The following is a 23,437-nucleotide window of genomic DNA, read 5'->3' as shown; positions in this document are numbered from 1 at the left end:
CCATGGCATTGCAGTAAAGAAACAGTTTAACTGACACAAAAATGGCCACAACATTTAGGAGATGGGGTTAATACTCAAATCAATCTCTCAGAGAACATGGGGGCTGGGGTTTTTCAAAAGTAGTTTGCGGTAAGTGGTGAGGGTGGCTAGGCAATGGGTTCTTACTGCTAACTGGTTGGGGGTGCAATCATAGGGGTGTGGGAAATGGTCCTTCTGCGTGCTGAGTCCCTTCTAGGTGGGGCCACAGTAGTAGCTGGCAGGTCCAAGTGGAGCCATTGGTGCCAGACATGCAAAAAAATCCTGAAAAGATATCTCGAAAGGCCAATCTTAGGTTCTACAATAGTAATGTTATCTGCAGGAGTAATTGGGGAAGTTACATATCTTGTGACCTCTGAAATTATGGCTGGAAATCTATTATAGTTATGCTTTAGCAGCATTCAGGCTTCGCTATCCTCCTAGCATGGTGGTTTCTCATTGGCTTTGCAAAGGCAGTTGAGTTCTGGGGATGGAATATCATCATTTCAACTATTTACTAAACTAAATGTCCCCCAAGGTTAGTTTGGCTTAAGCCCAGGAATAATTAAGTGCAGCTTAAAGGCTAAAGGCAAGATAGGAGTTGGCTAGATCAGATCTCCCCCATTACCATAATTTTCTCAGTGACATAATTTTTTCAAAAAATGGTTTTAGCAGGTTTGGAATTAGTCATTTATCTTCATTTTAGAAGTGGGAAAATTGAAGACCAGAGACAGCAAGTAATTTTCCTAAGGTCAAATAAGTTGGTGGCATAGCTGAAAAAAAAAAAGACGGGTCTTCTTTTTCCCAGCCCAACTGTCCCCCAACTTCAACTTGCCCCATACCATGCCCAAAGACAGGCATTTTCCCATATTGCTTTCTCTGTTTGTTTCCAAAATCCACTGAAAGGTGTTCAATAAAGCAAACACTGCTTTTTAGTACAAGTCAACCTTTTTCTAATTGATTTTTCTCATTTTTCAACAGATTTGTAATTGTTAATTTACTTGCTGAGTTGAAGACAGCGCCTGGCTTTGTCATCCTAATCCTTGGAGTAATTTAACTCTACCTTGTAAGACAGGTCCCCACGCTTATATTATGCTCTGTTGGCATTGTCTTTTCAATCAATCAGTCATGAAAAATTCATGCCCAAGGTAAAACCCTAGGTGAACCACTCTGAGAAAAACGTGATTATCTTTAAACAAAGGGGAGATCTCAGTGTTCTCTAAAATTCATTGGAGAGAGCAGCCTTTAATAAGAAAATATTTTATCTGCTGTTTGCAATCCACAATATATTCTCTCTTTTTTTCATTTAAAATTGATCTATTCCAATTCTCAGCTTTGGAAAACTGCTGTAAGGTGAAGCTTCATGAATGTGGATTCTAATAATCTGACATTTATAAAAGTTCAACTTGAGCATTGCATTAGTGATGAAAAATGTCTCAGCTAAACATAGCAGATTAATGGTGTAAATACAATTAGGATAATGTTACATCAGCTTTACTAAACATGCTTATTTGATGTTGCAAATTATAAATATTTTGGTTTTTAATAAATAAATATTTATTTTTATTGTCCTCTGGTTGTGGAGTGACTGATTCCTTCTTCAGTCCATCTGAAGAAGGACTCTTGGCTCTTATCTTGGCTCTATCCCTGACGCCAGCAACAAAATTCAATATGGGCCTGGTTATAGCCTGGATACTGACTGAGACTGAGACTGAACCTAGACCTCTACCTATTAATAGCTCATAAATATTTGCCATTAGCTTCAGGAAAACTGGATGAAAGAATATGGTTGGTTTACCTCCTGCAGGCAGATAGCTTCAAGCATCTGGTCTGACAGTACCTGATGACTTGATCTCTGCCCTAAAAAGCAGTACCATACAGCTGTAAAGTAGATCAGTCGTCCTGTAATTCCCAGGTGCTTTGAGAAAGGGAAAGGTTTCTTATGAACAAGTGCTGCTCTCTCTCTCTTAGATTTACTGCCCTGTTTGTTATCCACCAAAGCTTTTAATAAAAAAATATTCGTCTGTCCTGAGAAGCAAATTGAAAGCATGGCTGTTTTAGTATTTCCTTTTAACCTGGGACGTGATTCCAAAGGAGAGGAGATAAATTTTCTACTTTTTTGTTTAGAGAATAATTTTCAAAATGAAAAAAAAAAGAGGGACACAGAATGGTTTGTTATATAGAGCTACAGCTTTAGAGTCAAATAAACCTGATTTTGGATGCTGCTTCTACCACATTGTCAGTATTGTGCCCTTGGGCAACTTCTCATGGTTAATTTCTGTGAGAGCTTCAGTTTCCTCTTCTGTAAAATGGAAATATGAATACTTTTCTTGCCATGTTGTTATGATTGTTAAATGAGATTTTGTAGGTAAAGTGCCTGGGATATAATAAGTACTTAGAACAAAACAGAACAAAATAGAACGAAAAATCAATTAGAAAAAGGTTGACTTGTACTAAAAAGTAGTGCTTGCTTTATTGAACACCATTCAGTGGATTCTGGAAACAAACAGAGAAAACAATATGGGAAAATGCCTATCTTTGGGCAGGGTATGGGGCAAGTTGGAGTGGGAGGACAGTTGGGCTGGGAAAAAGAACACCCGTCTTTTTTTTTTTTTTCAGCTATGCCAACTTATTTGACCTTAGGAAAATTACTTGCTGTCTCTGATCTTCAATTTTCCCACTTCTAAATAGATTGAAAGAAGCATATTTTTTGGAGCTGAAAAAAACCTAAGAAGAGTATTTTCTTTAGCTATCTAGTGGAATATTTAGCTTTCCAACCAGTAAAGTATTATTATTTTGATTTTATGGATGGATCAACTAAGGTAAAATAACATACTAAAGTTTGCAAAGATAGTGAGTGGTGGAGACAAGTTTTGAACTCAGGTTTATGCCTCCTAAGACTTTGTTTGTCCAAATTCTTCATTTAACAAATAAATCAAGAAAAGAAACTGAAATTGATTTGTAACATATCATGTCACACCCCATGAACCCAGCCAAACTGCAAAATTCTCAAGGACAGGAAATGCTCTTTTCCTCATTAACAAAAGTGGGAAATTGAAATTTAAAGGATAACAATTGATCAAAAAATATATGTTAGTATGATCAAATTCAAATGGTACATTAAAATAGCTAGATTTAATATGTGAGCAAGGATAAGCTTATGTTAAATAATTATGAAGATAGTGAAGAATATCAAATTCAGTTTAATACTGAATATTCTAGTATATTGGGACTATAAACTACAATGGAAAGTAAATGACTCTTTACTTTTTATTCTCTTATTTTCTTTCCCTTTTTCAGTTTTTCTTTCTTTTAGTCTTTTTTTTCTGCATGGTTTGATTACTGAAACATTAAATAGTATATCCTTTGGCTATTGCTAAATAACGTAGGGACCAAGGGAGAACTCATTCTTTGCCCCCTGAAGTTTAGCTGAAACATCAACACACAAAAGGCAGATTAATAAAAGACATACAAATTTATTAATGTGCACATGGGGAAAAATCAGAGAATGATTACCCCAACCCCCAGTGGGGTGCAGAACCTTATAAACCACCTTGAGGTTTTAGGAAGAATGGGGGCTCAGTGCATGACCAGAGCAGATTATGGTGGTAAATCCGGTCATGGTGACAAGACAGGCTATGGGAGGGAAAGAAGAGGCTTGACTAGCAAAGATGGTCTTTTATGTAAATGAAACCTCACAGGTAGTAGCTCTCAGAGAGAATAGATGGTACGTGTTTCTATCAGACCTTTAAAGGTGTCAGACTCTCAGTTAATGTTTCTAGATCTGGGCAAGGGAAGGCCTGGCTGTATCAATGCAGATTGTCTACAGACACAAGTTTCCTATACAAAAGACAGCTTTATAGGGTCATTTCTATTTGTTGGGTCTCTGAACAGCCATCTCAAAATATGCCAAATAAATATATTTTGGGATAAAATATTTTGATATCCTTGAGTCTCTACTTTGAAACTTTGAAAAGTTTCACAGTTTAAAGTCAAGTTGATAGTTTTGGAGAGTTTTGGTTTAGAGATTGTTAGGTACAGATAGGCAAAGGAGCGGGAGAAAACAAACTGGAATAAGCAGAAAAGAGTAAATTTAAATATATCATCTCATGGCTTTTTAAATCAGTCTCTTAGTCATGATAATAGATTAGTTTGGTTAAATAATTGAATCTCCTTCTAGGAGGTGATCTTGTAGATGAGCTAGTCATATGTATATGTGTGTGTGTGTGTGTATATATATGTATATATATAATGTAGGAGAATATCTATAATAAGAGGCATTTCTATGGAAACAAAAGAAAGTGAAGGTTAATGTCTGGAGTAGTCTACAGACCAGATTTGACTTTGAAATATCTTCAGATTGCAGTGGCAATCTAACAGATTTTTCTGGGTTATAGTTTGACTGAGATGTTCAAGTGAGCTTTCCGGAGTAGTTTACACATCAGCAGGTATAATGACTGGTAATACATGTTATTGTGGTGATTTTCCCCAAAGTTTATATCAAGTTGTTTAACTTTAGTTTATAGGGCTTTAAGAAAAGTAATTTTAATTTTTAGTGATTTTAATTGAGAAAAATCAGAGAATAACTTGAAAAAAATTGTTTGGAGACTTGTAGTCAAGAAAGAATTTAGGATACAGTGTAAATTATAGGAAAACAATAAAAACTCAAAAACTATGGGCAAGGCTAGAATGTAATAACAGGTATACTATAGGTTTTTTCTGAAACATTTTTTCTCTCTCTAGTTCCCATTTTTACTAAGGTTAAATTATAATGGGACTAATTTAGTTATGAAATTAAAAGTAACTTTTAGTCTTATTATTCTTGGCATGACTATTTGCATAAAGTGTAGTAACAATAGTGATTGGCCATATAGGCTCTTTTAAAGTTGACTTTGTTGGAACTTTTTAATAAGGAATCTCAGATTAGACATTTAAAAGCCTTGAGGCTAAGAAACCAAGCCAAGGATTTGTCATCAGAGTGTGCCTGTAATACCTGTACAAACTGGTGAACTTCTCTCTTTTTGAGGCCCCAAAATCTTGGGGTGCATGGGCCTGTCAGAAAGTGATATATTTTATTTTCCACAGGTCTAGAACCTTATAAAGAAACCATGTAGATAAGACATCAGGCCACTCTTTTTCAAGAGCTTTTTATTAGCTCTGTGAAGTTAATCTCAACTTCTCAGAGTAGTTTAGCCATATCTGAAAATATATCATTCCAGTCAAAGTCTTGGTAAAATAACTAGTGTCATTAATTATGTCCTGTGACAAAAGAAAACAGATTCTTATGGAACAAATGTAAATAACTGTGCTGTCATTAATTAAGAATACTCACAAATAATTTTTAAATTCTGGAGAAATTATGTGAGAAAGATAAATGTTTTATTTTTGTTCACAAATATATACTTTACCCAATTGTTACAAGCTCTAAATAGTTCAAAAAAGTTTTCTTAATGCTGGAAAACAAAACATAAAAGGAATCAGCAATGTTTTAAATTAAAAAGTTATAAAAATCATTTGAGTCCTTTATCAGTTTAGCCCCATGAATTAACTCTTGTTCTGCTTGATGTTGAGCTAGCAATAGTCATGAATGTATTAGCTTTTTAATTAGAGTCCTGGAATTTTTTACCTACTCCAATAGTATGATTTCTAAAGTTATCAGAAGCATGTATTTAAGAGTACTTGTCAAGGTCCATATTATGAATTTCTTTGAAAAATAAGCAAATTTTGTACTGTATCTGATTACAAATTACTTTTTAGGAAGAATCAAAGTAAAACAATAATTTGTCTGTGGATTTAAAAAGTCTTAGAATAATCATAACAATTGACAATGAGATTTTGTTATTTCTATGGCATACAATTTGACATAATAATCATAATTGTTACTGTTAACATATACCAAAACACATCAGTATGTTAGTAATCTCATACAATTTTAGAACACATATTGATAATACATTTTTACAAGTACAACTCAAAAAAAGTTAAATATCATTTTTTATTTGACAATTTTTTATATGATTATAACATACTATATAATTCCAATATATCTCTCTTGGACTCTCTTGGGCCTTAATATATGAAAAGTTAATTTCAGGTCTAAAGACTGAATTTAGAATTTGAAATATGACTGTGAGAAGTATGTCAAATATCAAAGATTTAAAACAGTTGATATCAAAATAGGAGCACAGGTCACTGTAAAATATTCATTTAGCCAAAGTGATAATTCAGACATTTTAAACAGCAACAACTTTATTAATAGAGAAGAGGCTGTTTCCCAAATAATCAAAAGACCTAGTAAAGACAGCATGAGGCAAACTAAATCTGTCTCTCTTCTCTCTTTTTTGGGCGTTTATTTAAAAGTAAACAAAAATCAGCTGGGCATGGTGGCTCATGCCTGTAATCCCAGCACTTTGGGAGGCCGAGGCAGGCGGATCATGAGGTCAGAAGATAGAGACCATCCTGGCTAACACGGTGAAACCCCGTCTCTACTAAAAAAATACAAAACAAAAAGTCATCAGGGCATGGTGGCACGTGCCTGTAGTCCCAGCTACTCAGGAGGCTGAGGCAGGAGAATGGCGTGAACTGGGAGGTGGAGCTTGCAGTGAGCCAAGATTGTACCACTGCACTCCAGCCTGAGTGACAGAGAGAGACTCCATCTCGAAAAATAAAAATAAAATAAAATAAAAAGTAAACAAAAATCTTTTTAATATTGTATGAAAATGTTACTTAAAATAGAAAATTAGATTTTTCCTTCATATTATATTATTAATATTAAATTTAATTTTAATAAAATCTTATAAACAAATTTAATTTTAATGAGTTTTGAATATACACAAGAGATTTTGATAAACTCTTGTATAACCTCTTATAATTTTTAAATTTTTTATATTTAGTTTTATTTTTTATTGAAAGTAACATAAAAATTTATAAACTAGACAAAATTATTTTTTAACAAAAACCACGTTTATATTCTTTTATAAAAATGTTTTTATTTTTAATATACTTTGTATATAGACTATTTTATATTTAGTAGTTTTAATTATTATGTATATTACTTATGATGTTAACTCTCAGTAACCCTTATTTTCTGGTGAAAAATCTAGGAAGTGGGTAATTTTAATCATGTGCCAGATTTAGAGCCAATGACCAAAGTTAGAGTAATAAAGACAACGTCTGGTGGATCTAACTTTTTCCAGGAGGCACTGCTCTGGACCTGTGAGAATACTGCCCATGAGTGTCCCCAGCCTTGCCATAGCCACTTCTCTAGACCTTAGGATTTAAAGGCTCACATTTGAAGACATAAGCTCACAGACAAATTAAGTATTTGAAAATATTATGGAAGTAATACATTTATAACTTTAAAACATCTAGTAGAGACAGTATAAACTCGTCTGACTAAAATACCCAGGAAAAATGTGTAAACTAAATTCTTAAGATGTATTTTATTTTACTAACAATTTTTAAAATTATCTTTATTTACTATAGATTATTAAAATTATATGAACTTGACAAGTATTAGGCTGGTTTATTAATGAGTATTTATTTATAAGTCAATGGTATCAGACAGACAGTATATAAACAGACATATACATGTGTGTATATAGACATAAAGACTTTCCAGTTTTTATTTTAAAATTTTAGTTATGAGATTGGTATAAGTCACTAATATAAAAGGATAGCTGGATTTAAATTGTGTCTTTTTAAATGGGAAATGTTAATGTTTATCTGTCACACATGGCCAAAGCCCCTTACTGAGATTTAGAGAAAACAGGGTAGTAAATATATATGTAAAGTACAGAGACAATTTTAACTTTTTAAATAAAAATTTTAGGTGTGTTAGACATAAGAAGACTAAAAACATTTGTCAAGGTAACATAAAATCATAGGAATTTACCACTGGATTTTATAAGAAGACTAATTTTATTTAGATAAGTAATTTTTAATTTAGTCTTTGTTTTTTAATTGGACCACTGTGCTCAGGGTGGAGCCCATTAAGGAACATGGCCCAATAATTTAAATTATTAGCATTTGTCATGTTTAGAGCCTAATAATTTAGATAGATGAAAAGTAGACACAGCTAGGAGGCAGAGAATTTAGATTTTTTAAAATCAAGGATTTTATTTTTACACTGAATCCTGGGTCTCCAAAAAGAGGGAAACACCATGGGACTGGGCTACACAACAGTTTTATATTTTACTCCGTTATAAAGACAGTTTTCTAAGTATTTAAACTGCATGTTTTTAAAACTAAGTGCACAAAGAAATGAGTGGCCTCCTGTAGTAATAACATTAGTGTGACAATGTAACAAATAACATTCATTGTACCACTGCCAGCCACTTCCAAAACTGTAGTTCTCACCAGTGACCTCACATCCATTGTACACACAAAGGCCAAGTTTTCTGTCACAGCATGAAGTAACTTTTGGTACCCTCAAAAGCCAAAGAGATGAAATAATGTATTATAAAAGACAGCAGAGTTTTAGACCTGAGAGTATCCTTTCCATGACTCTTGAAACTAGAAGGAAAATAGAAGGCCCCACAAATGGGGTGAAGGGGTACCTTTTTCTGCATTAAGACGCTGAGTCATTGGACATCTCTTTTAGATTTTTTATGTAGTACCAAAGATGGAGAAGAAGGAGGGGTAGGGAGGAATAAAAGTAAATGGTAGAATATTTTGTAAGAAAGAAAGTGAACAGACAGACCAAATACATAATTTAAAAAGGGTTTTAGTCAACTAAGAAATCTAAAAACAGAATCAGAAAAGAGAGAACGTCAAAAGTATTTTAGATATGTATATGTACGTGTGTGTGTGTGTGTGTGTGTGTGTGTGTGTGTGTGCTATCTTTTAATTGAGTTGACTTTGAACTATGGAGCTCTTAGAGAAAACACAACGCTTTGAAATCTCTTATTATCAGATTTTAGCCAGGACAAACAGCTGAAATTTCTGGCTTTTGAATTTTTTTTTTAAATCGAAAGTACCCTTCTACCTCATAAGATCTAGAACCACCCCAAAGAGAGTTTACAGAAAGGAAAGTTTTATGTGCAATGGTGTACAACCCACATCTGTCTGGCCATATTTTCTGGGGTCTCAGCTTCTTAACTGACCATCTATTCACAAAGTCCCAAAAGTCCCATATGTCCCCATAGATGGAAGAATATAAGAAATCAAAAGCTGCTCATGGAAGGACAGGATTAATAAATAGTTACCTTCAAAAATAAAAAGTTACATAAATATCAACTGAAAGAGACTAGTTCTCTGACTAAGAATTGAACCTAGGCCATGGCAGTGAAAGTGTGGAATTTTAACTACTAGACTACAAGGTGGAGTAGCCTTCATTGCGAATCCCATAGGAAACCCACAGCTGGCAGTTTGAGCTTTCAAAGGACTTTAACTTTATTTTAGTTTAGATTTTTGTTCTTTAATTTTGTAAAGAGAATTTTAAGACTAATCATGGCACTATTATGTTTTTATTTTAGTTTGATATTCTCGTCAATTGTTTGGAATAAGAAATCTCTCCTTTTTTAAAATTCAGGAGTCAAACTTAAAGGACCTATCTTTTTGCCATTGATAATTAGAATTCCCAATGATGTACTTATTCCAGTAGTGACTCAGTTTAATAACTTCATTATGGAAAGCCCAGGATGTAATTTTCTAGGTTTAGAAAAATAGGTGTTTTCTAGAGAGGGAATAGAAGAGGCAATCCTAAAGATCCCCCACCCCACAAAAAATTTTACTCCCAGGAGTAGGCAAAAGGATCTTGTCACAGACAGTTGAGGTTGGTGTTTATGTAACCCATGAATTTGTGAGGAGCCACCAGTGACAGACCTGTTAATTTGTAACACCATGTAGAGCCTCCTAGGATTAGACTTTCCCAGAACTAACCAAACAACAAAGGTTGAGAAAAAAAAAAATATCCCCCTGAGAGCTTAACATGCTTGGAATAAACAGTGTGTTTGGGTACCCAGCCAATTTGAGACTGGCCACCTGACGTGACCTGAAAATCATGTCCCCCCGATGGTGGAAACCAAGAGAGAGAGCTCCTACTTGGTCACAAGGAAGCTTTCAAGGACATAAAACAAGATGAGAGAGAATCTCACTCACTACCCCTCTTTATGACAGAATAGCACAGAAAAACAAGGACAAGGAAAAACTATTTCTGGGAGAAGAGAGACCAAACAATATGAATATTCATGCCAGAAAGCACCAAAAAGTACACCAGAGTCACTATCCCCAAGACTAGTCACAGAAATCCTTTTCTCCCGTTAATCAAAATTTTGCAGAGGAAAAAGAGACAGTGATTTTTTACCATCTGCTTGACCAGATTGCACAGAGAGAGGTTGGAGCCTAGCTGTTAAGAAATTCATATTTTTTCATCAGTTTATGAGGTCCTAGGTTCCCTTAACTGCAGGTTCAAGAAGAGTGGCGTTTTGGTATTCTGCTCACAGTGCCAAAATTGTAGGGATTAAAGGAAAACTTCCCCTTCACTCTCTAAAGCTTCTTTGAAAAATCAACTCACAAAAGGCAGATTAATCAGAGAAAAGGATTATAAATTTATTAACGTGTACATAGAGGAAAAATCACAAAAGGATTACCCTAACCCCCAATGGGATGCAGAACCTTATATACCACCTTGAGCTTATGGGAAGAATGGGAGCTCAGAGCATGGCCAAAACAGGTTATGGTGGTAAATCAGGACATGATGGCAAGACAGCTTATGGGAGAGAAAGAAGAGGGGACTTGACTAACAACATGGTCTTTTATGTAAATGAAACCTCACAGGTAGTAGCCTTCAGAGAGAATAGATAGTAAATGTTATTATCAGACCTTTAAAAGTGTCAGACTCTCAGTTAATCTTTTCTGGATCTGGGCAAGGAAAGGCCTGGTTGTATCAATTCAAATTCTCTGCAGACACAGATTTCCCACACAAAATACAGCTTTACAGGGTTATTTCTATTTGTTGGCTCTTTGAACAGCCATCTCAAAATATGTCAAATAAATATATTTTTGGATAAAATATTTTGATTTCTTTCAATAACAAAGCACCAAAAACCAGTGGCTTAAGACAGGAAACATTTATTAATGCTCGTTAAGTCCATGGGCCAACCGGATGGTTTTTCTGTATTAGTGATCAACTGTAGATTAATCTGCTGATCTTGTCTGGGTGCTCTCATATATTTGGAAGTCAACCGTCTATATGTTGGTCTAAGATGGATTCAGTTGGAATCATTGGGCTTTAGTCAATGTAGTCTCATCCACTGTCACCCTACCCTAGATTTGATCAAATGCTGATAGTAGGATTTCAAAGAGAATATGGAACTACACAAGGCTTCTTGAGGTCTTGGCTTAAAGCTGCTGTACCATCGTTTTACCAGGTTTTATTGGGCAAAACCAATCACCAGATCAGCCCAAATTCAAAGGTGTCACCTTTTGATGGGAGGAGCAGCAAAATCATAGTATAAAGAATATGGATACAGAGTAAGCAGAATAGTTCTGAACAATTTTCAGTCTAGCACATATGATTTGTATGCATTTATAAGAAAATAGACTACCATTAAATGTCTCATCAAGAAAAGGCTGTGCCACCATTAAGCAAGGTAATCTAGGACTCACATCCTTCCTCATTTTATTATAAAATGATAACAAAAGCCAATAGAAGTATATACCTAATGGAAGCCAGAAGTGGGTAGCAGTGTGAGAAATCATGCAGCAGGTAGAAAGGCCCCCTCAAGGGATGTACTGAAGAAATTTTTAAAAGGAAGGCAAAGCACTGTGCTTGTACTTATAATTCCAGTTACTTGGGAGTCTGAGGCAGGAGGATCACTTGAGCCCAGGAGTTCAAAGCTGCATGAGCCATGATCACACTATTGCACTCCAGCCTGTGCAATAGAGTGAGATCTTGTATTTGTGTGTGTGTGTGTGTGTGTGTGTGTGTGTGTGTGTGTGTTTAAAAAAAAAAAAGGAAAGGAATTTTGGTTTTGCCTGAGTTTAGAAACCTATGCATTCCTGTTTGAGAATTTCAGAAGCACTGAGAAAACCTATAGCTTCTTCCCCTGTGCCTGATGAATAGCCCATTTAAAAAAACAGATGTATATACCTGTTATTTCATCTGTCCTATTAACTCCGTAGCACTTCTGTGCAGGGGAAACATGAAGTGAGTATAGGTGGAAATTCATTCATGGGGTGCATTATAGGTTGGCCTAGTATTGAAGCCATCCACTCGGCTGGTTTTCTATTTATTATCCTTGACTTTCCCATCACGCAGGAAGGAGAACCTGTTTAATAAATAATAGGTTTAAAGAAAGCCTAATAAATCAGATTTTATTTAATATACACTGATATGGTTTTGCTGTGTCCCCACTCAAATCTCATCTTGAAGTGTAGCTCTCATAATTCCCATGTGTTATGGGAAGGACCCAGTGGGAAATAATTGAATCATGGGGGTGGTTTCCCCCATGCTGTTCTTGTGGTAGTGAATACATCTCATGAGATCTGATGGTTTTTATAAGAGATTTCCCCTTTCTCTTGGCTCTCATTCTGTCTTGCCTGCTGCCATGTAAGATGTGCCTTTTGCCTTCTACCATGATTGTGAGGCCTCCCAGCCACGTGGAACTGTGAGTCCATTAAACCTCTTTTTCTTTATAAATTACCCAGTCTTGGGTATGTCTTTTTTTTTTGGGACAGAGTCTCGCTCCGTTGCCCAGGCTGAAGTGCAGTGGTGTGATCTCAGCTCACTGCAACCTCCACCTCCCGGGTTCCAGTGATTCTCCTGCCTCAGCCTCTCGAGTAGCTTGGACTACAGGCGTGTGCCACCATGCCCGGCTAATTTTTTGTATTTTTAATAGAGACAGGGTTTCACTGTGTTAGCCAGAATGGTCTCAATCTCCTGACCTCGTGATCTGCCCGCTTTGGCCTCCCAAAGTGCTGGGATTATAGGCGTGAGCCACCGTGCCTCGCCTTGGGTATGTCTTTATCAGCAGTGTGAAAACAGACTAATACATACACTCTGACTTCAGCCCTGTCAGTACCTACTTTGCAGTTACAAAAGATGTGAAGGATTTTGCCCTGATCTCAGTCATCTTACAAACCATACATAGCTACAACTAGGAGGGGAAATGTACTATGGTACTAATTTCAAAGTGATTTGACTCAGAACTACACATCATCTTTTGGGAAGTGGCTCAAAAGAAAGTGTACTCTTCCCATTCAGGCAGATGTGATCACTGTCCTCTGTGCACTATACCCAAAGCTCCAAGAGTTCTTGACATATTCTTCTATTTTTGCATTAATGACACTGGGTTTGCAATAACTTGTTTACTTGCTTGTTTTCTCCATAACAGTATGCGTTTCCTCAGAGTAGAGCATTTACTTATTCAGCTGACTCTACAGAGACCAGTATAAACCCTGGAACAGTCATTCAGTGCAGCCTTAGGTGCTTTTTCTGAAACACAAATCTGAACCTTTCACACCTACAATTAAAACCCTTCAATAGGCCCTTCATATTGCTTTCAGTGAAAGTTAAAACTTTTTAACATGCTCATATGTCTTAATGACACAGTCTGATCTCTTGCCCTACCCAGCCCCAGAATTACCACTTAGCCTTTGTTCTTGTTGCTCCCTCTGACTGAAATGTCTTCCATGTGTTCTCTACTGCCTGGCCAGTCCTTATTCCTCAGCAAAAATTCACCTCTCCTTCCCTTAGGCTGGCTACAGACTCTACCTTCGCGTGTGTGTGTGTGTGTGTGTGTTACAGGTTTATTTTCCTCACTTAAGGGCAAAGGGCCCAGTCTTATTAATTTATATAATCTCAGCACATAGCAGAGTAGGAAACCCATAACTGTTTATTTAATAAATATTAAAATTATGATTAAATGAATATGTTTGAATTAGTGCTAAAATTTAGAACAAAATTCCATGTAGGAAATGCTGTCAGATTGAGGAAAAGAGAGGCTTTTTTTTTGTCTGTATCTTGGTGGATATTTATTTTGAGAAGGGAGAAGAAAGAGTCTCCCTGAAAGATCTTTTTCTTCTTTCTGTCATGTTACAAATGCCCTTGTTTGATATGCTAAACTCCCCTTGATGAGAATGTTTTGCTCCATTCCCCTTTTACCTCTTTTGGCTGCCTTCTCACAAGTTTTCAGTGAGGGAGAGGAATCTTCTAATGTGCAATCTGCAAGCCATTTTTTTTTTACCATCTCTGTCAGACTGCAGTATCTGTGTGAAGATTGACAATTTCCAGTTAACAAGACACAGGTGCAGCTAATTAACAAACTTTGTTGATTCCCTGTGACTCTTCAACATCAACTTATAATAGATAAGGATTCGTTTTTCACATAGTGATTATCCAGACTCCATGCTTTTGATATATGAGGCCCAGGATTGTTCAGCATTTTTTGAAGACTTTAGGTGGCAACTTTTTGGTTCTTCATGGGCAGGAGACTTAGCATAATCATACATATGATCTGTCTCTCTATATCCTTACATACATACATGCACATATATGTATACATATGTGTCTATACACACGTACATATTCATATATATGTACATGAAGCTACACATATATAGGAAACATATCTATAAATTGTATGTAATGTATATAGTTGTATAGGTTCATGTACGTATATATGTACATTATATACATATATATGTAGTCTTTTATTGTTCCCTAAACACATTGTCTGGGCAATTATATTTAATTCTAAGAACTCTACCAGATGGGTATGATTTTTCTCCCTACAAATAACAGGCTCAGAAAGATGATAAATCACACAGTAAGAAGTAGGCTTGAAACTCCAGCATTTCTTTCCACAATGCTGGGAATCAGGCTGCACTCCCAATAAGTAATATAAAAACTGGGAATATGGCTCCGAAGTAAAGGAGCTGATTGGTTGAACAAATAGAGATCTAGGTTTTATCCCCAACTCAGCCCCATACCATATTATCTATATAACCTTTGATATGTCATGACACCAAGGCAGATTGATCCTAAACTCCTGTGTAGTTCTGCCCATTTCACACCAACCTTTGTACATGGTGCAATATGATTAGAACATGTTGTCAGACGTACTCCAAAGAGCTTTTCCCCACTGAGTTATAAACCTTCTGTATTATCAGAGGAGGTTAAGTGCCAAGCGTTAGTCTCAAAGGAGTTACTGACATCATTCATAATAAAAACTACTCATACCTAAGTTATGGACTCAAATTCATTTTTAAGTTTAAATATAACCATTTGTAATATAAAACTAGGATGAATGATATGGAAATTACTAAATAAAGAAGGAAAAACATGAAAATATTTTAAGGAAATGTTGTATAACAAAAAATTTTAAAACATAGTGAGGAAGCATAAACAAAATGAATTATGAAAGAAAATAACCATAAAAGATAAGAAAAGATCACTGAGTGTGATTGAAACCAAATAAATCTTAAAAGGAAAACATTCACTAGAGATTTGCCATAATATAAATTGAAAAATATCATGAAACTACAATTATCAAAATTATTGGGAGGGCCGGGCGTGGTGGCTCACGCCTATAATCCCAGCACTTTGGGAGGCCAAGGCAGGCGGATTGCCTGAGCTCAGGAGTTCGAGACCAGCCTGGGCAACACAGAGAAACGCCATCTCTACTAAAATACAAAAATTAGCCGGGTGTGGTGATATGCGACTGTAGTCCCAGCTACTCAGGAGGCTGAGGCAGGAGAATTGCTTGCACCTGGGAGGCAGAGGTTGCAGTGAGCCACGATAGCGCCGCTGCACTCCAGCCTGGGTGACAGAGTGAGACTCCGTCTCAAAAAAAAAAAAACTTATGGGAGGCTGTCATTAGGATAAACATACAGATCAGTGGAACAGAAATTGAAGTCCAGAGATAAACCCAAACATATAAAAATTTATTATATGGAAATGGTAGCATTTAAAATTAGAAAGGAATGACTTATTCAATAAATGATATTGGCACAACTTGCTAACCGTTTGGAAAAAACTACATTATTCTACTTCATATTTTACACTAAAGTGTCAAATGAATTAAAGTTATTTAAATTTTTAAATTTTAAATTAGGGAAATTTCATATATACATAAAATAACATAAAAGCACTCAATAAAATGAAGCAGATATTAACATTTTGTCATCTTTCAGATCCTGCTTGCTTTTATTGATTTTGATAAATAAGTCATTACGGATATACCTAACATCCTCTCTCCTTACCTCTTTCTTTCTATCAGAAGTTACCAAATTTCTGAAATTATTATTACCATGTATAATTTTGTATTTTTATTATACTTGGATTATATATAAGTATACAAATATACTACTGTTTTGTGTTAAAATGCTTGCCATTTTCATTAAACATAGTTTTTGGAAGTTTCTCTATGTTGATAAATGTCACTCTAATGCATTCATTTTAAATGCTCAAAAGTATTTTGTACTAATGAACCACAATTTATCCAGTTTTTTAAATTAAGCGGTTTTAGTTACTTTTTTGTTTTCCTATTATAAATGAATACTGATACAGTGAACAACTCTGCATGTGTCTCCTTATACAATGGGCAAAATTTGTTTAAGGAGAACACATAGAAGTGGAATTGCTAGGTTATAGGTTATAAACATCTTTATTGTCAAGTACCCCTCTAAAGAGGCTCTTCTATTTTACATGCTTACCAGCAATGTTCAAAATCATTGTTCTTTCATAATTACCAATACTTGATATTAGATTTGCTAATACTTGATATTAGATTTACTTTTTTGCTGATATGATGGATGAGAAATTTCATTATTTTCTTAATTTATATTTCCTCAACTGCTAGTGGAGTAATCATCTATTCATATATTTAATTTACAAACCTTTATATTCCTCCTTCTATATCTTGTCTGATTATATGCTTGGCCTATTTTCTATTGTATTGTTGGTCTTTTATATTTTGATTTATAATAGTTCTTTATAAATTTGCATATTAAACCATTGTGAGGATTACTCTATTTTTTTATCTTTTTTTGTTTTTCAGAAAGTCATCAATATTCATTTAATTGTCTATTTATTTAATTTTATTATTATACTTTAAGTTTTAGGGTACATGTGCACAATGTGCAGGTTAGTTACATATGTATACATGTGCCATGCTGGTGTGCTGCACCCATTAACTCGTCATTTAGCATTAGGTATATCTCCTAATGCTATCCCTCCCCACTCCCCCCACCCCACAACAGTCCCCAGAGTGTGATGTTCCCCTTCCTGTGTCCATGTGTTCTCATTGTTCAATTCCCATCTATGAGTGAGAACATGCGGTGTTTGGTTTTTTGTCCTTGCGATAGTTTACTGAGAATGATGATTTCTAGTTTCATCCATGTCCCTACAAAGGACATGAACTCATCATTTTCTATGGCTGCATAGTATTCCATGGTGTATATGTGCCACATTTTCTTAATCCAGTCTATCATTGTTGGACATTTGGGTTGCTTCCAAGTCTTTGCTACTGTGAATAGTGCCGCAATAAACATACGTGTACATGTGTCTTTATAACAGCATGATTTATAGTCCTTTGGGTATATACCCAGTAATGGGATGGCTGGGTTAAATGGTATTTCTAGTTCTAGATCCCTGAGGAATCGCCACACTGACCTCCACAATGGTTGAACTAGTTTACAGTGCCACCAACAGTGTAAAAGTGTTCCTATTTCTCCACATCCTCTCCAGCACCTGTTGTTTCCTGACTTTTAATGATCGCCATTCTAACTGGTGTGAGATGGTATCTCATTGTGGTTTTGATTTGCATTTCTCTGATGGCCAGTGATGATGAGCATTTTTTCATGTGTCTGTTGGCTGCATAAATATCTTCTTTTGAGAAGTGTCTGTTCATATACTTTGCCCACTTTTTGATGGGGTTGTTTGTTTTTTTCTTGTAAATTTGTTTGAGTTCATTGTAGATTCTGGATATTAGCCCTTTGTCAGATGAGTAGGTTGTGAAAATTTTCTCCCATTTTGTAGGTTGCCTGTTCACTGTGAAGGTAGTTTCTTTTGCTGTGCAGAAGCTCTTTAGTTTAATTAGATCCCATTTGTCAATTTTGTCTTTTGTCGCCATGAAGTGTTTTAGACATGAAGTCCTTGCCCATGCCTATGTCCTGAATGGTAATGCCTAGGTTTTCTTCTAGGGTTTTTATGGTTTTAGGTCTAAAGTTTAAGTCTTTAATCCATCTTGAATTGATTTTTGTATAAGGTGTAAGGAAGGTATCCAGTTTCAGCTTTCTACATATGGCTAGCCAGTTTTCCCAGCACCATTTATTAAATAGGGAATCCTTTCCCCATTGCTTGTTTTTCTCAGGTTTGTCAAAGATCAGACAGTTGTAGATATGCGGCGTTATTTCTGAGGGCTCTGTTCTGTTCCATTGATCTATATCTCTGTTTTGGTACCAGTACCATGCTGTTTTGGTTACTGTAGCCTTGTAGTATAGTTTGAAGTCAGGTAGCGTGATGCCTCCAGCTTTGTTCTTTTGGCTTAGGATTGACTTGGCGATGTGGGCTCTTTTTTGGTTCCATATGAACTTTAAAGTAGTTTTTTCCAATTCTGTGAAGAAAGTCATTGGTAGCTTGATGGGGATGGCATTGAATCTATAAATTACCTTGGGCAGTATGGCCATTTTCACGATATTGATTCTTCCTACCCATGAGCATGGAATGTTCTTCCATTTGTTTGTATCCTCTTTTATTTCATTAAGCAGTGGTTTGCAGTTCTCCTTGAAGAGGTCCTTCACATCCCTTGTAAGTTGGATTCCTAGGTATTTTATTCTCTTTGAAGCAATTGTGAATGGGAGTTCACTCATGATTTGGCTCTCTGTTTGTCTGTTATTGGTGTATAAGAATGCTTGTGATTTTTGTACATTGATTTTGTATCCTGAGACTTTGCTGAAGTTGCTTATCAGCTTAAGGAGATTTTGGGCTGAGCCAATGGGGTCTTCTAGATATACAATCATGTCGTCTGCAAACAGGGACAATTTGACTTCCTCTTTTCCTAATTGAATACCCTTTATTTCCTTCTCCTGCCTAATTTCCTTGGCCAGAACTTCCAACACTATGTTGAATAGGAGTGGTGAGAGAGGGCATCCCTGTCTTGTGCCAGTTTTCAAAGGGAATGCTTCCAGTTTTTGCCCATTCAGTATGATATTGGCTGTGGGTTTGTCATAGATAGCTCTTATTATTTTGAGATATGTCCCATCAATACCTAATTTATTGAGAGTTTTTAGCATGAAGCGTTGTTGAATTTTGTCAAAGGACTTTTCTGCATCTATTGAGATAATCATGTGGTTTTTGTCTTTGGTTTTGTTTATATGCTGGATTACATTTATTGATTGGCATATATTGAACCAGCCTTGCATCGCAGGGATGAAGCCCACTTGATCATGGTGGATAAGCTTTTTGATGTGCTGCTGAATTCGGTTTGCCAGTATTTTATTGAGGATTTTTGCATCAATGTTCATCAAGGATATTGGTCTAAAATTCTCTTTTTTGGTTGTGTCTCTGCCCGGCTTTGGTATCAGGATGATGCTGGCCTCATCAAATGAGTTAGGGAGGATTCCCTCTTTTTCTATTGATTGGAGTAGTTTCAGAAGGAATGGTACCAGTTCCTCCTTGTACCTCTGGTAGAATTCGGCTGTGAATCCATCTGGTCCTGGACTCTTTTTGGTTGGTAAGTTATTGATTTTTGCCACAATTTCAGAGCCTGTTATTGGTCTATTCAGAGATTCAACTTCTTCCTGGTTTAGTCTTGGGAGGGTGTATGTGTCGAGGAATTTATCCATTTCTTCTAGATTTTCTGGTTTATTTGTGTAGAGGTGTTTGTAGTATTCTCTGATGGTAGTTTGTATTTTTGTGGGATCGGTGGTGATATCCCCTTTATCATTTTTTATTGCGTCTATTTGATTCTTCTCTCTTTTCTTCTTTATTAGTCTTGCTAGCGGTCTATCAATTTTGTTGATCCTTTCAAAAAACCAGCTCCTGGATTCATTAATTTTTTGAAGGGTTTTTTGTGTCTCTATTTCCTTCAGTTCTGCTCTGATTTTAGTTATTTCTTGCCTTCTGCTAGCTTTTGAATGTGTTTGCTCTTGCTTTTCTAGTTCTTTTAATTGTGATCTTAGGGTGTCAATTTTGGATCTTTCCTGCTTTCTCTTGTGGGCATTCAGTGCTATAAATTTCCCTCTACACACTGCTTTGAATGTGTCCCAGAGATTCTGGTATGTTGTGTCTTTGTTCTCGTTGGTTTCAAAGAACATCTTTATTTCTGCCTTCATTTTGTTATGTACCCAGTAGTCATTCAGGAGCAGGTTGTTCAGTTTCCATGTAGTTGAGCGGTTTTCAGTGAGTTTCTTAATCCTGAGTTCTAGTTTGATTGCACTGTGGTCTGAGAGACAGTTTGTTATAATCTCTGTTCTTTTACATTTGCTGAGGAGAGCTTTACTTCCAAGTATGTGGTCAATTTTGGAATAGGTGTGGTGTGGTGCTGAAAAAAATGTATATTCTGTTGATTTGGGGTGGAGAGTTCTGTAGATGTCTATTAGGTCCGCTTGGTGCAGAGCTGAGTTCAATTCCTGGGTATCCTTGTTAACTTTCTGTCTCGTTGATCTGTCTAATGTTGACAGTGGGGTGTTAAAGTCTCCCATTATTATTGTGTGGGAGTCTAAGTCTCTTTGTAGGTCACTCAGGACTTGCTTTATGAATCTGGGTGCTCCTGTATTGGGTGCATATATATTTAGGATAGTTAGCTCTTCTTGTTGAATTGATCCCTTTACCATTATGTAATGGCCTTCTTTGTCTCTTTTGATCTTTGTTGGTTTAAAGTCTGTTTTATCAGAGACTAGGATTGCAACCCTTGCCTTTTTTTGTTTTCCATTTGCTTGGTAGATCTTCCTCCATCCTTTTATTTTGAGCCTATGTGTGTCTCTGCACATGAGATGGGTTTCCCGAATACAGCACACTGATGGGTCTTGACTCTTTATCCAATTTGCCAGTCTGTGTCTTTTAATTGGAGCATTTAGTCCATTTACATTTAAAGTTAATATTGTTATGTGTGAATTTGATCCTGTCATTATGAAGTTAGCTGGTGATTTTGCTCATTAGTTGATGCAGTTTCTTCCTAGTCTCGATGGTCTTTACATTTTGGCATGATTTTGCAGTGGCTGGTACTGGTTGCTCCTTTCCTTGTTTAGTGCTTCCTTCAGGAGCTCTTTTAGGGCAGGCCTGGTGGTGACAAAGTCTCTCAGCATTTGCTTGTCTGTAAGGTATTTTATTTCTCCTTCACTTATGGATCTTAGTTTGGCTGGATATGAAATTCTGGGTTGAAAATTATTTTCTTTAAGAATGTTGAATATTGGCCCCCACTCTCTTCTGGCTTGTAGAGTTTCTGCTGAGAGATCCGCTCTTAGTCTGATGGGCTTCCCTTTGTGGGTAACCCGACCTTTCTCTCTGGCTGCCCTTAAGATTTTTTACTTCATTGCAACTTTGGTGAATCTGACAATTATGTGTCTTGGAGTTGCTCTTCTCAAGGAGTATCTTTGTGGCATTCTCTGTATTTCCTGAATCTGAACGTTGGCCTGCCTTGCTAGATTGGGGAAGTTCTCCTGGATAATATCCTGCAGAGTGTTTTCCAACTTGGTTCCATTCTCCCCGTCACTTTCAGGTGCACCAATCAGACACAGATTTGGTATTTTCACATAGTCCCATATTTCTTGGAGGCTTTGTTTGTTTCTTTTTATTCTTTTTTCTCTAAACTTCCCTTCTCACTTCATTTCATTCATTTCATCTTCCATCACTGATACCCTTTCTTCCAGTTGATCGCATCGGCTCCTGAGGCTTCTGCATTCTTCACGTAGTTCTCGAGCCTTGGCTTTCAGCTCCATCAGCTCCTTTAAGCACTTCTCTATATTGGTTATTCTAGTTATACATTCGTCTAAATTTTTTTCAAATTTTTCAACTTCTTTGCCTTTGGTTCGAATTTCCTTCTGTAGCTCGGAGTAGTTTGATCGTCTGAAGCCTTCTTCTCTCAACTCATCAAAGTCATTCTCCATCCAGCTTTGTTCCGTTGCTGGTGAGGAACTGCGTTCCTTTGGAGGAGGAGAGGCGCTCTGCTTTTTAGAGTTTCCATTTTTTCTGCTCTGTTTTTTCCTCATCTTTGTGGTTTTATGTACTTTTGGTCTTTGGTGATGGTGATGTACAGATGGGTTTTTGGTGTGGATGTCCTTTCTGTTTGTTAGTTTTCCTTTCAACAGACAGGATCCTCAGCTGCAGGTCTGTTGCTAGAGGTTCACTCCAGACCCTGTTTGCCTGGCTATCAGCAGCGGGGTCTGCAGAACCGTGGATTTTCATGAACTGCAAATGCTGCTGTCTGATCGTTCCTCTGGAAGTTTTGTCTCAGAGGAGTACCCAGCCGTGTGAGGTGTCAGTCTGCCCCTACTGGGGGGTGCCTCCCAGTTAGGCTGCTCAGGGATCAGGGGTCAGGGACCCTCTAGAGGAGGCAGTCTGCCTGTTCTCAGATCTCCAGCTCCGTGCTGGAGGAGCCAAGATGGCCGAATAGGAACAGCTCTGGTCTACAGCTCCCAGCGTGAGTGACGCAGAAGATGGGTGATTTCTGCATTTCCATCTGAGGTACCGGGTTCATCTCACTGGGGAGTGCCAGACAGTGGGCGCAGGACAGTGGGTGCAGCGCACCGTGCATGAGCCAAAGCAGCGCGAGGCATTGCCTCACTCGGGACGTGCAAGAGGTCAGGGAGTTCCCTTTCCTGGTCAAGGAAAGGGGTGACAGCACCTGGAAAATCGGGTCACTCCCACCCGAATACTGCGCTTTTCTGACGGGCTTAGGAAACGGCGCACCAGGAGAATTATATCCCGCACCTGGCTAGGAGAGTCCTATGCTCACGGAGTCTCGCTGATTGCTAGCACAGCAGTCTGAGAGCAAACTGCAAGGCGGCAGCGAGGCTGGGGGAGGGGCGCCCGCCATTGCTGAGGCTCGCTTACGTAAACAAAGCAGCCAGGAAACTCGAACTGGGTGGAGCCCAGCACAGCTCAAGGAGGCCTGCCTGCCTCTGTAGGCTCCACCTCTGGGGGCAGGCCACAGACAAACAAAAAGACAGCAGTAACCTTTGCAGACTTAAATGTCCCTGTCTGACAGCTTTGAAGAGAGCAGTGGTTCTATTTTTTTTTCAATCATTGACTTTCATTTTCATTTTTCTGTGGTATCGTTTTGCATAGTATTTTTTTTTGTAAAATACTCAAATATGTCTATCTTTTCCTTCATAATTAATGCTTCTGTGCTTTTTGTAAAAAAAAAAACTGTACATACTTTGAGTCCATAAACTAATCTGCTGTGTTTTGCTTTGTGCATTTTATTTCCTAATCTATTTGGGTTTTATTTCTGTATTTGGTGCTAGGTAGAGACCC

The 23,437-nt window shown here is 36.9% G+C and overlaps 1 protein-coding gene and 1 long non-coding RNA gene across 11 annotated transcripts in view; one reads left to right on the top strand and one right to left on the bottom strand.

The window, feature by feature from the left end:
* AGBL4 (AGBL carboxypeptidase 4) overlaps nucleotides 1-23,437 on the top strand; it is a 1,501,444-nt gene that overhangs the window by 743,586 nt on the left and 734,421 nt on the right. The window lies entirely within an intron of this gene.
* On the bottom strand, nucleotides 11,075-22,958 carry AGBL4-AS1 (AGBL4 antisense RNA 1). The gene is made up of 4 exons (NR_125988.1): nucleotides 22,892-22,958; nucleotides 14,123-14,226; nucleotides 12,110-12,287; nucleotides 11,075-11,300 (listed from the first exon to the last, which is right to left on the bottom strand). It is a non-coding gene; the product is annotated as an AGBL4 antisense RNA 1 (long non-coding RNA).

Source organism: Homo sapiens, chromosome 1 (genome assembly GCF_000001405.40).
Source record: "Homo sapiens chromosome 1, GRCh38.p14 Primary Assembly".
NCBI lineage: Eukaryota > Metazoa > Chordata > Mammalia > Primates > Hominidae > Homo > Homo sapiens.
This window is presented reverse-complemented; position numbering and strand designations above follow the sequence as displayed.